The sequence below is a fragment of the Homo sapiens genome, chromosome 22, assembly GCF_000001405.40.
Source record: "Homo sapiens chromosome 22, GRCh38.p14 Primary Assembly".
Lineage (NCBI taxonomy): Eukaryota > Metazoa > Chordata > Mammalia > Primates > Hominidae > Homo > Homo sapiens.
Window position 1 is genome coordinate 49371477 of NC_000022.11, and position 15868 is coordinate 49387344.

General features: G+C 46.3%; 1 long non-coding RNA gene across 1 annotated transcript, besides 3 other annotated features; it reads left to right on the forward strand.

The window, feature by feature from the left end:
* Positions 727 to 1668: an enhancer, noted in NCBI's record as "H3K27ac-H3K4me1 hESC enhancer chr22:49768106-49769047 (GRCh37/hg19 assembly coordinates)". NCBI's record gives its function as "activates a minimal SCP1, AML or CMV promoter by ChIP-STARR-seq in naive H9 embryonic stem cells {active_cell/tissue: H9 hESC(naive)}" and the evidence as "EXISTENCE:reporter gene assay evidence [ECO:0000049][PMID:30033119]".
* Positions 1190 to 1484: an enhancer, noted in NCBI's record as "tiled region #3830; HepG2 Activating DNase matched - State 20:ReprD, and K562 Activating DNase unmatched - State 8:EnhW". NCBI's record gives its function as "activates a minimal TATA promoter and a strong SV40 promoter by Sharpr-MPRA in HepG2 and K562 cells {active_cell/tissue: HepG2 | K562}" and the evidence as "EXISTENCE:reporter gene assay evidence [ECO:0000049][PMID:27701403]".
* Positions 1230 to 1524: an enhancer, noted in NCBI's record as "tiled region #4902; HepG2 Activating DNase unmatched - State 20:ReprD, and K562 Activating DNase matched - State 8:EnhW". NCBI's record gives its function as "activates a minimal TATA promoter and a strong SV40 promoter by Sharpr-MPRA in HepG2 cells, with weaker activation in K562 cells {active_cell/tissue: HepG2 | K562}" and the evidence as "EXISTENCE:reporter gene assay evidence [ECO:0000049][PMID:27701403]".
* LOC124905143 (uncharacterized) lies at positions 1482 to 5655 on the forward strand. Its single transcript, XR_007068148.1, has 2 exons — positions 1482 to 2987; positions 4844 to 5655. It is a non-coding gene; the product is annotated as an uncharacterized LOC124905143 (long non-coding RNA).
* The last annotated feature ends 10213 nt before the right edge of the window (positions 5656 to 15868 follow it).

A 15868-nucleotide genomic window follows, 5' to 3' on the forward strand; every position in this document is an offset into this window, starting at 1 on the left:
TCCTGCAGTCCCTCCCTGCCACCACGAAGATGGGAACCGGTACAGCACCCTGTTCGCAAGCTTCGTAAAGCAAGTCCACCCAGCCCTGCCCTGGGATTTTAGAGTCCCGGGTGGGTGTTTCCAGCCATGTCTGAAACGGCAAAGAATCCTTGAAAATCTCCCCAGGAGGAGACGGATCCAGAGATGGACGTGCTTTCTCCTTCAGCCTGGGCACACTCGAGGGTGAAAGGGGCATGGGGCGTAGTTGCACAGGACGGCAGGACAGCAGACGGGCACCGGGCTGTCGCCAGGTCCACCCGGCTCACGTGGTCCCCCAGCCTGAAAGCTCCTCTGGACACCTGGTCCAAGCCTTGGGGGCGCTGGGATGCCCAGGCTCATTCGGGCTCCACTTTCTACAGAATCCTTTTCACAGTCTAAGTCTCTCTGAAAAGCCCCAAAGGGACTCTCTGGACCCTGTGGGCTCATTGAGTCTCCTAAGTGTGTCCCCACCAGGAGAGCTGTGTGCTGGGCCCCCCATGCCCGCAGCCCGTGCCCCCCCCACACCCCGGCCCCCCATGCCCAGCAGCACGTGCATTTCCACTGTGGTCTGTGCCTTCAGCTGTGACCCCACAGAAGACACGGCCCGGGGACAGGGTGATCCCAGGCTTTCCGCATGCAGAGCGGGTTACTGACCCCCACAGATTTGCTTCAGGCCTCTGGGCTGGCAGATGGGTGCTGTGGGGTGGGAGTCAGGTGGTCGGAGTCCCAGGCCGGGGAACGTCCAGGTGCTGCAGGGAAATCAGGACGGCGCCCGAGGGAAGTGCGTGAGCCAGGGAGTCGTGGTGAAGGAGCCTGGGTGCCTTGAGTGATTCTTCCTCTCTTGCCTGCTTTAGCTAGGCGCCTGCTTAAACGAAGCCCTTGGAACTCAGTGAAAGCAGCGGCATCCTCAGAAGAAAGAGAAACCGCTCACCACTGTCAGCACCACGGCCCCGTTCCCTGCACCCCCAGCCTTCATGGGGAGGACACATCCTTTCACTGAATTGGGAGAAAAACAGCATCACCCCCACCCCGCCCCCAGGTTTCCTGAGCCTCAGCACCAGGGAGAGTGCTCAGAATGGGCCCTGGACTCTGGGGCCTGGAGCAGGTCTGAAGGCTCCCGCAGCTGCAGTCTCTGCCGTCTGCACTGGGGACGGCTCTTGGGTTGGGTCCTTCTTCCCTGCGCACTCCGAGGTCCTCCCTGCAGCCTTCCAGTCAGCAGGACCTGGCTGGGGGGACAGCATCAGGGGCACTGGCTGAGGGAGGTGAATGAGCCTCTCCCTGGTATGCAGGAAGGGCCTGGTGGGAAGAACAATGACTCAGCCTGGAGATGGCAGCAGCTCAGCCCTCATGGGACTGTCTGACTCAGTCCCCACCCTCTCTGTCCCCAGGAATGACCAGCCATTGGGTGGCCCTGCTGGAGGCCGCCCCCGCCTATGACCAGACAGCCTCTGCTCTGGAGGGCTCCTGTCCTGAGTGCCGACTGCCAGGCCGTCCTCGGGCTGGAAAGGGCAGAGCTGTGGGGAGGTGAGCAGAAGCCCAGGGAAGCACCGGGTGCTGGGCAGGCCAGCCAGCTGCAGGCATCGCTTTCAGGGTGCAGAAGAGCCAGACCCAGCCCAAGGAGGGAGGCCCAGAGTGCCTCAGTGATGACCACGTGGGCATAGCCAGGAGGAACACCCAGGGCGGCGGTAGGTCCCTGGAAGAGGGACACGGTGGGCATTGCCTGGGGTTGGGAAGCCTCCGTCTCTGCAGGTCACTCGCACCTGGGAGTATGGCCACGGTCAGCCCCAGAGTCCGGAAGGAAAGCAGGGCCCGGGAGGCCTCAGGACCAGAAACAAACAGAGAAGATGCCAGAGGCATCCACAAGGCAAAGTCAGCAAAACAGGGGATAAAGGAGCTGTTTCAGAGGAAGAAAAGTCCCGGTCCCTGCAGGAGGGGCCAACTCCCAGCCTCATGCTGCTGCCACAGGGGGCCTGTGGGGCTGGTTCCAGCTGGGGAAGCACAGGGAGACGTCCACCCAGGAAACTGCTCCAAAGCCAGGACAAGTGTGACTGGAGTTGGGAAGAGCAGAGACGATGGCTCAGCAGTGAACAGCCAGGGGCAGCCCAGGAGGCGAAGCTGGCCCTGCTCACCCTGTCCACATCCTGATGCAAGAAGAACATGGCGTGGAGCTCCGTAATGAGGCAGCATCCACTGCACAAACAAGCCCAGAAAAAGGGAGACACACAGGTGACCCAGAGTGGAGTCAGGAAGCCCCGAGAAAGGACGCGGGCTGTGGCTGCTGCAGAACTTGGAGCTCCAAAATAACAAAGGAAATGACCTATGCACAGCCACGAGGAGAGAGAGACGGGGTCCCAGCATTGCTGGGAGAGGCCATGATGCTCAGTGGGCACCCACCATGAGATGCCCGGGTCCTGAGCCAGGAGGCGGAGCCACTCCCCACGCACTCTGTCCTGACTTTGGTGACAGGAGCAGCCACCGAATGCCATCATCTGCCAAGGTGACCTCCAAGCACTGGGCAGGCAGAGGCCGCTCCTGTTTTCCAGGAAGCTGGCAAGTGGGCTCTGGAGACGGCAGTTTTATCTGCAGGCAGAGGGAGCGACCAGGTGCCCGAAGCCCCTCCACCCCGGGACTGCAGCGTCCTGGGACCCTCAAGACAGGATCCCACGAGGAGGGTTACCAGCTCCCCGGCCGAGGCGTTCTCTTTCCCTACGGCCTGCCTTTTTCATAAGATCAATGCCGTGGAATCCTACGGTGGGAGGTCTTTTGTCCATTTCCTCAATATAAAACTAACAGGCAAAAAGTTACTCTTAATATCCTCTTTGTGCCCTGTTAATATCTATTGACCTTTAATGAATATTCCTATTTTATTGCTAACAGTCATAACTTGTGTTTTCTTTCTGGTTTTTTAAAATATTATTCCTAGGAAATGAATTATTAGCTAATACTTCCAAAGAACGAACCTGTCAAAGGTAAATCTGCTTTCTATTTCATTGATTTTTGGTCTTATCTTTATTTTCCTTCTTCAGTTTTTGGGGGTTTTATATACTGTTCTTTTCATAGTTCCTTGAATTGAAAGTTTACATCATTGATTTTCAAATTTTGTTCTTTTTAACATAGGCATTTAAAGCTATAATCTCCCTCTAAGTTTTGCTTTGGCTGTTTCCCACAAGTTTAGATCTGTTCTATATATGTTACATATTATATGTTATATACATATATATATATATATATATATATATATATATATATATACACACATACACATCTAGTTCTTATTTTATTCAGTTTAAATATTTTCTAATTTTGCTATGATTTCTTCTTCAATTCATGGGAAATCTAAAATGTGTTTCACAATTTCTAAATATTTGGGGCTTTTTTCATAATCTTTTTGTAACTGACTTCCAGTTTAATTACATTATGATAAGAATATATAATGTGCATGATTCCAATAATTTGAAATGTATTAAGCCTTGTTTTTTGGCCTAGCATATGGTCTATTTTCATAAATCTTGCACTAAAACTTAAAAACTTGGAAAGCATGTGTGTTCTGTAGGTTTTAGATGTGGTTGCAGGTAGCGTTAGTGAGGGAAGTATGGAGGAATATCAACTCGACATAGACTTGGGAGCTTCTCTCCCAGTCTGCCGAGTTTCCCTTCATCTAACTGAAGCTGTGTCATTAGGTGCATGTACATTTAAGATTGTTATCTCCCCCTGTGGAATCGGCCCTTTGTCATTGTTAAAAATCCTTCTTTATTTCTGGCAGCACGTCTTGCTTTACATTCTGTTTGTTTGAAATTGAAATGGGTATAGCTTCGTATAGTCTCAAACTTTCTTTCTTTCTTTCTTTTTCTTTTCTTTTCTTTTTTTTTTTTTTTTTTTTTTTTTTTTTTTTTGAGACAGGGTCTCACTCTGTAGCCCAGGCTGGAGTGCAGTGGTATGATCTTGGCTCACTGCAACCTCTGCCTCCAGGGCTCAAGTGATTCTCCCACCTCAGTCTGCAGAGTAGCTGGGGCTAGGGGCACATGCTACCAGGCCTGGCTAAATTTTTTTTGTATTTTTAGTAGAGACGGTGTTTCACCTTGTTGGCCAGGATGATCTCAAACCCCTGAGCTCAAGCAATCCCCCTGCCTCAGCCTTCCAAAGTGCTGGGTTACAGGCGTGAGCCACCATGCCTGGCCTCAAACTTTCTTTTGGTTTGTGTTTGCATGGTGTGTATTTTTCCATCCTTTACCTTACAATCAATGTGTTCAATGTGTTTCCTTCTATTTAAAGCATTTATATTACAAATAGCACATAGCTGGGTGTATTTAAAATAACATTCAAACAAATGCTCCTTGGATTTTAATCAGAATGTCTGGCCCATTTCCATGTCATGGAACCGATGATATAACTGCATGAAGTCTGCCATCTTGCTAGGAGTGCTGCATTCAACCCGTCTACTCTTTGTTCCTTCCTCTTTTCTTGCCTTATTTCCAGTGATCAAGTATTTTTATTATTTTATATCCTTTATATTATCAGTTATGCATGTTAGTGTTATTTTCTTCCTGAACGCATGAAGGTTTAAATGTGTATCCTTAATTTACAGTTTATCTTACTTATCCTTACAGTTTATCTTACTTATCCTTACAGTTTATCTTAAATTAATTTTTTATCACTTATTAAAGAATGCAAGAATCTATCATTATTTAAGTATATTTACTTCTCATCTGTCCTTTGGCGGTTGCCACCATCTACTTTAGAAATGCAAAGGATACGGTTATTATTGTTACTCTAAGCAACAAACAGTACATTTTCCTTTTCTGATTCTGTTCATTCTTTTCTGCAGTTCCATGTTTCCAACTGAACCCATGTTCCTCCACTAATACTTGGATTTTCTTCCACCACGGCCGTTCCTGAGACAGCAAGACCAGTTCCTCCTCCTTCTGCTCCTCCTCAGCCCACTTGACGTGAAGACGACGAGGATGGAGACCTTGATCGTGCCCCACTCCCACCTAATGAATAGTCTGTAGATTTTCTCTTCCTTAGGACTTTCTTCATAACATTTTCCTTTCTCTATCTTACTTTATTATAAAAATACAGTATATAACACAGATGCAAATTATGTGTTAATTGAGTTTTTATGTTATCTGTAAGGCTTCCAGTCAACAGTTGGCCCTCAGGAGCTAAGTTTTGGGGGAGTCCAAAGTTGTATGAGTATTTTTCACTGTGTAGGGGATCAGTGCCCATAAACCTCAGGTTATTTAAGGGTCTACTGTATAAAGTAAATATTGGACTCATAATAACAATAGCAGCTATAACATCTTTGTAGCACTTAGCCTTGGTACAGGTGCCTTCAATATGCTAACTAATTTAACTTTTAACCAAGCCAGTTCTTTATGTAAAAAAAACGATTCATCATAATTTAATATCTTATACATGTTCCATTCAATTTTCTAAATTTGGCTAATATAAAATAAGGTTTAATATTACCATGATTTGATCAACATTTCAAAATTACATATATTTCTCTTACAAATTCATTGTTATTGACATCAAATTTATAACCACGTTATTGGCATTGTTTAACCACACAGTAAAATAAGTGTAATCAGTGAAAAAAATAGAATAAAATCTATATAGTGGAGACCTTGAAATATATGTGCGAGAGTGCAAGAGTTTATTCACTGTTGGGATGAAATGCTATTTAACAGTTTTTCTTTCCCAAGGGATGGAATTATGTGGGATTCTTGTCTCCATCTGAGATCTATCCCAGGGCATCATCTCCGGAGAAGTTTCCGTCTTCTGCGGTGAGTGCGTGGGAGTGTTTCTGTGAAAGGTGCACACGATGAGCTATTTTAGATCCAGATGTGCAAAGTCAGGTCGAAGCGAAGAACTCTCCCCTTATTCCCTCTACTCTCCACAAAGAAAACAGAGAATGGCCAACAGCTCCAACCGTGTAGAGAGCTCAAAAGACAGTCCTTAAATGCAGCCTCTGGGCCTTGCAACAGGAGGTTGACTTCGCCACGGGAGCTTCCAGTGGATGGGACGGGGGTAGATGTTAGTCGGCTCTGGGACTTGAGGAAAGTTGACCTGGCAACAGGAGTTTCCAGCGGACGGGGATGAGGGTAGATGTCAGTAGCCGGCTGGATTCGGGGCTCTGGGGATTGAGGAAACTGAGTCCCACTCTTTCAAGACACATGAGGGGGCGGGAGGAGGACACATGGAGGGTTCCGTTGGAACCAAAGCTTTCTTTCATCTATTTATTTATTTTTTACTTATTTATTTCATCTTTACTTTTTACTAAGATAGGAAAAACTTAAGGACGTTTGAATTTGCCAGGGAAAGAAAAAGTGCAGCGGCAAATCCGGGAGAGAGGAATCTCTGTCTAAGGGAATTTATGAAAGGAACGGGGCCAAGATGATGGGATGCGTTTCTGGGGACAATGTCCTGAGGTAGGAATGGAAAGAGAGTAAGGACTGTGGGCGCGAAAGATGCCCTCAGGACAGCAAATGACGGGGGAAGGGGATGACAGTCAGGGAGAAGCTTCTGTGCCCCATCCCAGAGACATGGGGAGGAGGAAGACCAGGGCTGGGACCTGGTGGAATGGAGACCATGGCTATCAATTAGTCATGTCATCAGACTGGACAATTCTACAGTTTTCTCTAACAGTTTCAGCAGATAAAGCAATGATATCCAAAAATAAGGTTCGGCAGGGTGGGGTACACCCCACCCCCTCAGCTCAGGAGAAAGAAAATCGGAGCAAGCACTGGGGTTCTGGACTCTGCTGGGAGGCAGGAGAGCTCGTGGAGTGGACAGAGGCCATCAGGAGGCGGTTTGTTTGCAGTATGTGCAAGTAATATTCTGGGAATGATGGAGAGATTGCTAAAGCCAGGAGGCAGTGGTCAGAGAGTTGGTTATTTAAATTTTAGATAGTTATTATATTATTTAAACTTCAGATAGTTAAAATCTTCTGTGGGGGGATTGGATGTTCTTGGTAGTTCCAGCTGACACATGGAATCCGGGGAGAGACGGTATCTGACCATGAGGATGATGACCTGAGACGGGACTGGCGGGAGTTGCCTGTGTCAGGTGTAGGGTGTGGGTAGGGGTGGTGTCAGATCGGTGAATTCCAGAGACAGTCCAGGCTGGAGACGCCACCTCTAACATATCAGCACCAAGGCAGATGTCAAAGCCAGCTTGTGGGCAGCCCTGGATTAAGAGGTCATGACAATTCCCAACACCCCTCATGCGCTCCCTCCCTCCAGAAGTGGAAACCCCCGTGCCTTCCTTCCCGATGCTTTGGAATTAAACTGCAGGGCTTGAGTGAAAAACAATTCCTCCGAGTCGAACTTCCTCCCGCTTGCACCTACCCCCAGGTGCTTTTCCCAGAGCAGGGCGAATAAAGAAACGAGATCAGAATGGACCCTTGAAGACCAGTGGCGCGCAGGAGATGGACAGAGTAAATTCAGTAAAACAAATGTTCTGAAGGACAATGGGAAGCGTGATTGGAGAGATAAAAGAAGAAGTGCTATAAAGTCATTTTACAGAATTAATGAGGAGAGAGTTAAGCCAGAGGGAGCGATCAACAGTGTCAAATAGGAAAAGAACTCACTGTGCCCCTTGGATTTGACAATATGGAACCAGGTAGTTAATTTTTCCAGTGCAGACTTGGTGAAATAACATGACCCGGTTACAGGAGGTTAAAGACAGAATTGATGGTGATGGAGCAGACGTTTGGATAGGAAGAAGAGGACAAAGGCAGTTTCTTATCATCTTTAGTGTGGGTGCCCGTTTGAGCGAGCCTAAGAGTCATTTAATATCAGCTAAATTTCAGGAAAAACTAGATTTTGAGAAATATCACCCTCCTTATGTCTTTTTTCTCATCAGCAAAGTGTTGAATGGGTTCATTCTGCTTCCAAAAGAAAGTGAAAATCTGTGTGCAGCAGTGCAGTGGCTAAAAACAAAAAAACAAAAGTGGGGACTCCCACTTGCTTCCTGGAGGGTGTGTCCCCTCCCTCTGCTGCCTGCATTAACAGGAGGGTATTCAGGGCCATGGGGTGTGAAGTTGGGGAATAACGCACCTGCCCCCTTTCTCACACATTTGGTTTGCCAGTCTGTGCCACCTTGGGGAATGGGATCTCAGTGGGAGATTTTTTAGCCCAACTTGTCTTATGAGTTACTGCGCTGGGTCATTAGTCTTTACCGACCACTAACATGTAAGTCTTGCAGTTTGCTTCTCCTCTGTTTACCCATCTCAGAATGAAAGGCCATGAAATATTTAAAAGCATCGATTCTGCATTCCCCCGACATTATTAACAGGGAACAAAAAGTTATTTCATACCCTCATTTTGTCAGTTGCCTAAAGAACTCGAGGGACATGGAGAATTTCATAGCAGGCACCCGCAATATAACAGATTGCAAATCCTTTCAACACTTTCAGCTAAAAAGTCTGCTGAATAATTGAGCACACAGAATTGCAACCCACTTAGAAGTCTTCTCCCTAGCCAAAGGCGCAGAGGCCACCCTTGTCAACGTGGTCCCACCAAAGGTTCCACACTGCATGTGGTCAGTTCCCTGATGGAGCACTTGAGTGGTACTTCTGTGACCCAAATTGCAAAGGGTGGCTGGAAACAAAGGAGTCAGTCAGGTGGGAGAAAACAGAAGATTCTCCCAGGAAGGGGATGGTCATTACTTAGATTTCACCAAAGACCAGAACCTGTGGGGCTTAGAGGCTGAAGGGTGAATTAAAACAGCAGGATGCAGGCTTAGATCACAAATCCGAAAGGAGAGAGGCCACATCGAGGCCCCACTGTCCTGGATTAATCTCTACTTGGATGGAGTGTGTGACAAAGGCCTCAATGTGGCATATCCAAGCTCAAGGTGACTGCCTTTCTCCCCAAATGCCGTGCTTCTCCTGGCTCCCCAGCCTCGTAAAAGGGACTAAAAACTGCAGTTCTCAGGTTAGACATGAAATCAATGCATCGCCTTGTAAGGGATCCGATGAGCTCCACTCCTGCATCTGCACACCTCCCCTCAGTATGCAAATATCCCTGCAAGCAACACACACAGGATGCACCTGACCTTCTCCACTCAGTATGCAAAGATCCCTGCAAGCGACATGCACAGGATGCACCTGACCTTCTCCATTCGGTATGCAAAGATCCCTGCAAGCGACATGCACAGGATGCACCTGACCTTCTCCATTCGGTATGCAAAGATCCCTGCAAGCAACACACACAGGATGCACCTGACCTTCTCCACTCAGTATGCAAAGATTCTTGCAAGCAACACGCACAGGATGCACCTGGCCTTTGCCTCCTCAGAGAGCCTTGGCGTGTCTTCCCCATCCCTGGAAAGCTCCCTGCACCTGGTGAAATCTGAGTCACCTTTGACACCCCCACCTTCAACCTCACTTTATCCAACCTGGAGTCAGAGCAAGATCTGCAGCCACTTCAGGAAGCCCAATCATCTGGACACTTGGGGAGTGGATGGTGATGATCTGCAAGGTGTTGACTCGCCAGGCAGGCTGAGGGCAGTCCTCAGTCAACACCAAATGCAGCAGGCTCCAAGGTCTGAGCTTGGTTATGGTTCTGCTCTGTAATTAAAAGATCATGTGTCCTACTTAGCACACAAAATTCTATAAAAATTGCATGAAACAGAGCCACTCAGTCTAGAAAGCAGCTGATAGTGGCCGGCCTCAGCACACCACCATCCCCCACAGGGGTGGCCTTCAACACAGCTGCTCGTCAACTCATCCTTTCCCAAGGCTTCCAGGGCTTTCCGTGATGGAGTTCGGGTGTCCGCTCTCCCCATCCAGGTGTGTGTTCTACGAATCCACACTCCTCTCAATATCACTCCCCAGACACTTTCAGTCAGCCTTTCCTTTTCCTCCAACTCCGCTCCAACCAATCTTCAAGTGTGGTGATTTCGAGTAGAAAACATTTCTCCAGTCTATGAGGCCTCCATCTCTGGGCGATCACTCTGGTCCGAGTGGCCACCCATCTTTCTCCTGGTTCTGAAAGCACACTGTCTCTAAACCATGAATCTCACTGGGTCACACTCTTGGTTACCAGACCTCAGCTGCTTTCCACTGCCATTGGGTCGAAAATTATGACCCCACCTGCGATGTCCCACCTGCCTGGCTCTGCTTCCTCTGCATCCCTTCTAGTATGCACTCCTGTCCTGGAGGGCTGGCTGTCCTCCTGTCCTCATTCCCTAACCCTGCCCCACTGTTCCCCAGCTCAGGGCTCAGGGCTCGGGTACTGTGCGTGCCTCCTAGGAAGCCCCACCTTCCCGCCCTCCTTCTCCTGTTAACTCTTACTCCCTCCGGCTCCAGTTTACTCAGGATTCCTCTGACCACTCCATTCCAGGAAGCAGTGGGGCTCTGGACTGGCACTCTCCTTGTACCTCACATGTAATTAAATACATCCCTGAAAGCCCCTGCTGTACTGGTCGCCTTCCGTGCACAGTCTGGGGGAACAGGGCCACGCCCACCTTGCTCATGGCCTTGACTCAGAGCCTGGCCCAGCACCGGGTACCTCTGTCAGAAAGAGCTTCTCCTGACCTGGCTCCTGCGGCTTCCGTCTCAGCAGAAGAAACGTCCCCCACTCCTCTCCTCATGCAGTGTCCCCCAGCTTCCCGGTGTCTGTTCATGGCCACCTGCTTCTATGGTCTCTGTACATTTTACACAAACCAAAATGGTTCCATGTAAACAAACTAAGTAAAATAACTTTAGTTTGCATGAAATGCTGCAGAGACAAAAAGCAGGTGGCCATGAGGATAAGCGGGGAGGTTCCTGAGTTAGGAGGGAAGTGGGGAAGGCGGTTCTGAGAAAACCAGGCTCACATTTGGGGGAATAAAGGAGCAAGTGCTGTCAGCTCTGCAAATCCTTCCTCCACCCTCGCTTCTCTCCCAGTGCCAAGGCCGGGAGCTGTGTCAGAGCCCCCGGGATGTGTCCTCAGCTGAGCCTCATGGCCTCTCCTCTGCCCCTCACAGCCTCAGATGGAAGCTCAGTCAGACCCCTCTGGTGCGGGTCCAGCCTCACGCCTGCTGTGTGGGTCCAGCCTGACCCTGCCTTGTGGGTCCAGCCTGACTCCTGCCCTGTGGGTCCAGCCTGATCCCTGCCCTGTGGGTCCAGCCTGATCCCTGCCCTGTGGGTCCAGCCTGACCCTGCCCTGTGGGTCCAGCCTCATGCCTGCCGTGTGGGTCCAGCCTGACCCTGCCGTGTGGGTCCAGCCTGACCCCTGCGGTGTGGAGCTCGAGTTCCCTTGGACTGCCTTTCCTTTCTCTCGATGACGCTTTCTGCTCAGAGGTCACGCACACTTTTCATAGATTTATTTATTTTTGATACTATTTATAGAACAGTTTTTAAAATTCCATTTTTAATTGTTGATTTTTATATAAAAACAAACATGATATTTACCTTGTTCCAGGAACCAAGATACATGCAACTTATTAATTCTCATAATTATTCTGTGACCTTTTTGAAGTGTTACCTAGTCAATTCTGTTGTACCCAAATAACTTTGATTTTTTATATTCTGGTCCTCATGCTTGAGTTATTCCCCTCCCCTTAATGATCCGCCTAAAATCTGCAGTTCAATATGAAAATTGAGGGAGGATGGGAGCATCCCTGTCGCACCATCATGTCATCAGCTGCCTGGCATTATCAGATTAAGGAAACTCCATTCTCTTCCCAGTTTGTCAAATATTTTATCAATAATGAATATTGGACCGAGAGCGGCGGCTCACACCTGTAATCCCAGCACTTTGGGAGGCCCAGGCGGGTGGATCACGAGGTCAGGAGTTCGACACCATCCTGACCAACATGGTGAAACCCCATCTCTACTAAAAATACAAAAATTAGCTGGATGCAGTGGTGGGCGCCTGTAATCTCAGCTATTCGGGAGGTTGAGGCAGGAAAATCGCTTGAACCTGGGAGGTGGAGGTTGCAGTGAGCCGAGATCGTGCCACTGCACTCTAGCCTGGGCGACAGAGGAAGACTCCATCTTAAAAAAAAAAAAAAAAAAAAAAAAAAGAATATTGATGTTTTTCAAAAGACTTTTTGTGCCTAAGATTATCATTTTCTCCTGGTTTATTCTATTAATGTGGGGAATTGCTGTAGTGTTTTGTTTGAATATATCATGAACATACAAAAATACAAAGACCTTCAATGTTCAGTTTGATAAACTTTAGCAATTGTATAAATTGTGTCCCAGCACCCACAGCAAGACACAAACCATCTCCGTCCTGCCAGGAAGCTCCCTTGTCTCTACACACACTTTCTGCTCTGTTTTTAGACTTTTTGGTTATTTTCAGTTTGGGGCGATTACGGATAACAGAGCTATAAACATTCTTATGAAGTTGCTTATGGTGACAGGCAGCACCCCTACCCCCAGGTAAATGCCTGCGAGTGAAATTGCTAAGTCACGAGACAGAGGTGGACCCGTGATCACCTCGCTAGTGTAATTCATCACGTCTAAGAGATTTTCTATGTGCACAGTCATACTGACTCACATCTAAGAGACTTTCTGTGTGCACAGTCATACTGACTCACGTCTAAGAGATTTTCTATGTCCAGTCATACTGACTCATATCTAAGAGATTTTCTGTGTGCACAGTCATACTGACTCACGTCTAAGAGATTTTTCCTATGTACACAGTCATACTGACTCACGTCTAAGAGATTTTCTATGTCCAGTCATACTGACTCATATCTAAGAGATTTTCTATGTGCACAGTCATACTGACTCATGTCTAAGAGATTTTCTATGTCCAGTCATACTGACTCATATCTAAGAGATTTTCTGTGTGCACAGTCATACTGACTCACGTCTAAGAGATTTTTTCTATGTACACAGTCATACTGACTCACGTCTAAGAGATTTTCTAGGTCCAGTCATACTGACTCATATCTAAGAGATTTTCTGTGTGCACAGTCATACTGACTCACGTCTAAGAGATTTTCTGTGTCCAGTCATACTGACTCACGTCTAAGAGATTTTCTGTGTGCACAGTCATATTGACTCACGTCTAAGAGATTTTCTGTGTGCACAGTCATACTGACTCACGTCTAAGAGATTTTCTGTGTGCACAGTCATACTGACTCACGTCTAAGAGATTTTCTGTGTGCACAGTCATACTGACTCACGTCTAAGAGATTTTCTGTGTGCACAGTCATACTGACTCACGTCTAAGAGATTTTTTCTATGTACACAGTCATACTGACTCACCTCTAAGAGATTTTCTGTGTCCAGTCATACTGACTCACGTCTAAGAGATTTTCTGTGTGCACAGTCATATTGACTCATGTCTAAGAGATTTTCTGTGTGCACAGTCATACTGACTCACGTCTAAGAGATTTTCTATGTCCAGTCATACTGACTCATATCTAAGAGATTTTCTGTGTGCACAGTCATACTGACTCACGTCTAAGAGATTTTTTCTATGTACACAGTCATACTGACTCACGTCTAAGAGATTTTCTAGGTCCAGTCATACTGACTCATATCTAAGAGATTTTCTGTGTGCACAGTCATACTGACTCACGTCTAAGAGATTTTCTGTGTCCAGTCATACTGACTCACGTCTAAGAGATTTTCTGTGTGCACAGTCATATTGACTCACGTCTAAGAGATTTTCTGTGTGCACAGTCATACTGACTCACGTCTAAGAGATTTTCTGTGTGCACAGTCATACTGACTCACGTCTAAGAGATTTTCTGTGTGCACAGTCATACTGACTCACGTCTAAGAGATTTTCTGTGTGCACAGTCATACTGACTCACGTCTAAGAGATTTTTTCTATGTACACAGTCATACTGACTCACCTCTAAGAGATTTTCTGTGTCCAGTCATACTGACTCACGTCTAAGAGATTTTCTGTGTGCACAGTCATATTGACTCATGTCTAAGAGATTTTCTGTGTGCACAGTCATACTGACTCACGTCTAAGAGATTTTCTGTGTGCACAGTCATACTGATTCACGTCTAAGAGATTTTCTGTGTGCAGAGTCATATTGACTCACATCTAAGAGATTTTCTGTGTGCACTGTCATACTGACTCATGTCTAAGATATTTTTTCTATGTGCACAGTCATACTGACTCACATCTAAGATATTTTTTCTATGTGCAGAGTCATACTGACTCACATCTAAGAGATTTTTTCTATGTGCACAGTCATACTGACTCACGTCTAAGAGATTTTCTATGTGCACAGTCATACTGACTCACGTCTAAGAGATGTTTTTCTATGTGCACAGTCATACTGACTCACATCTAAGAGATTTTCTATGTGCAGTCATACTGACTCACGTCTAAGAGATTTTTTCTATGTGCACAGTCATACTGACTTACGTCTAAGAGATTTTTTTCTGTGTGCACAGTCATACTGACTCACGTCTAAGAGATTTTTTCTATGTGCAGAGTCATACTGACTCACATCTAAGAGATTTTCTATGTGCAGTCATACTGACTCACGTCTAAGAGATTTTTTCTATGTGCAGAGTCATACTGACTCACATCTAAGAGATTTTCTATGTGCAGTCATACTGACTCACATCTAAGAGATTTTTTCTATGTGCAGAGTCATACTGACTCACGTCTAAGAGATTTTCTATGTGCACAGTCATACTGACTCATGTCTAAGAGATTTTCTGTGTGCACAGTCATACTGACTCACGTCTAAGAGATTTTCTGTGTGCACAGTCATACTGACTCACGTCTAAGAGATTTTCTGTGTGCACAGTCATATTGACTCACATCTAAGAGATTTTTTCTATGTGCAGAGTCATACTAACTCACGTCTAAGAGATTTTCTATGTGCACAGTCATACTGACTCATGTCTGAGAGATTTTCTGTGTGCACAGTCATACTGACTCACGTCTAAGAGATTTTCTGTGTGCACAGTCATACTGACTCACGTCTAAGAGATTTTCTGTGTGCACAGTCATACTGACTCACATCTAAGAGATTTTTTCTATGTGCACAGTCATACTGACTTACGTCTAAGAGATTTTTTTCTGTGTGCACAGTCATACTGACTCACGTCTAAGAGATTTTTTCTATGTACACAGTCATACTGACTCATGTCTAAGAGATTTTCTGTGTGCACAGTCATACTGATTCACGTCTAAGAGATTTTCTGTGTGCACAGTCATACTGATTCACGTCTAAGAGATTTTCTGTGTGCGCAGTCATACTGATTCACGTCTAAGAGATTTTCTGTGTGCACAGTCATACTGATTCACGTCTAAGAGATTTTCTGTGTGCAGAGTCATATTGACTCACGTCTAAGAGATTTTCTGTGTGCACTGTCATACTGACTCATGTCTAAGATATTTTTTCTATGTGCACAGTCATACTGACTCACATCTAAGATATTTTTTCTCTGTGTACTGTCATACTGACTCACGTCTAAGAGATTTTTTCTATGTGCACAGTCATACTGACTCACATCTAAGAGATTTTCTATGTGCAGTCATACTGACTCACGTCTAAGAGATTTTCTGTGTGCACAGTCATACTGACTCACGTCTAAGAGATTTTTTCTATGTGCAGAGTCATACTGACTCACATCTAAGAGATTTTCTATGTGCAGTCATACTGACTCACGTCTAAGAGATTTTTTCTATGTGCAGAGTCATACTGACTTACGTCTAAGAGATTTTTTTCTGTGTGCACAGTCATACTGACTCACGTCTAAGAGATTTTCTATGTGCACAGTCATACTGACTCACGTCTAAGAGATTTTCTGTGTGCACAGTCATACTGACTCACGTCTAAGAGATTTTCTGTGTGCACAGTCATACTGACTCATGTCTAAGAGATTTTCTGTGTGCACAGTCATACTGACTCACGTCTAAGAGATTTT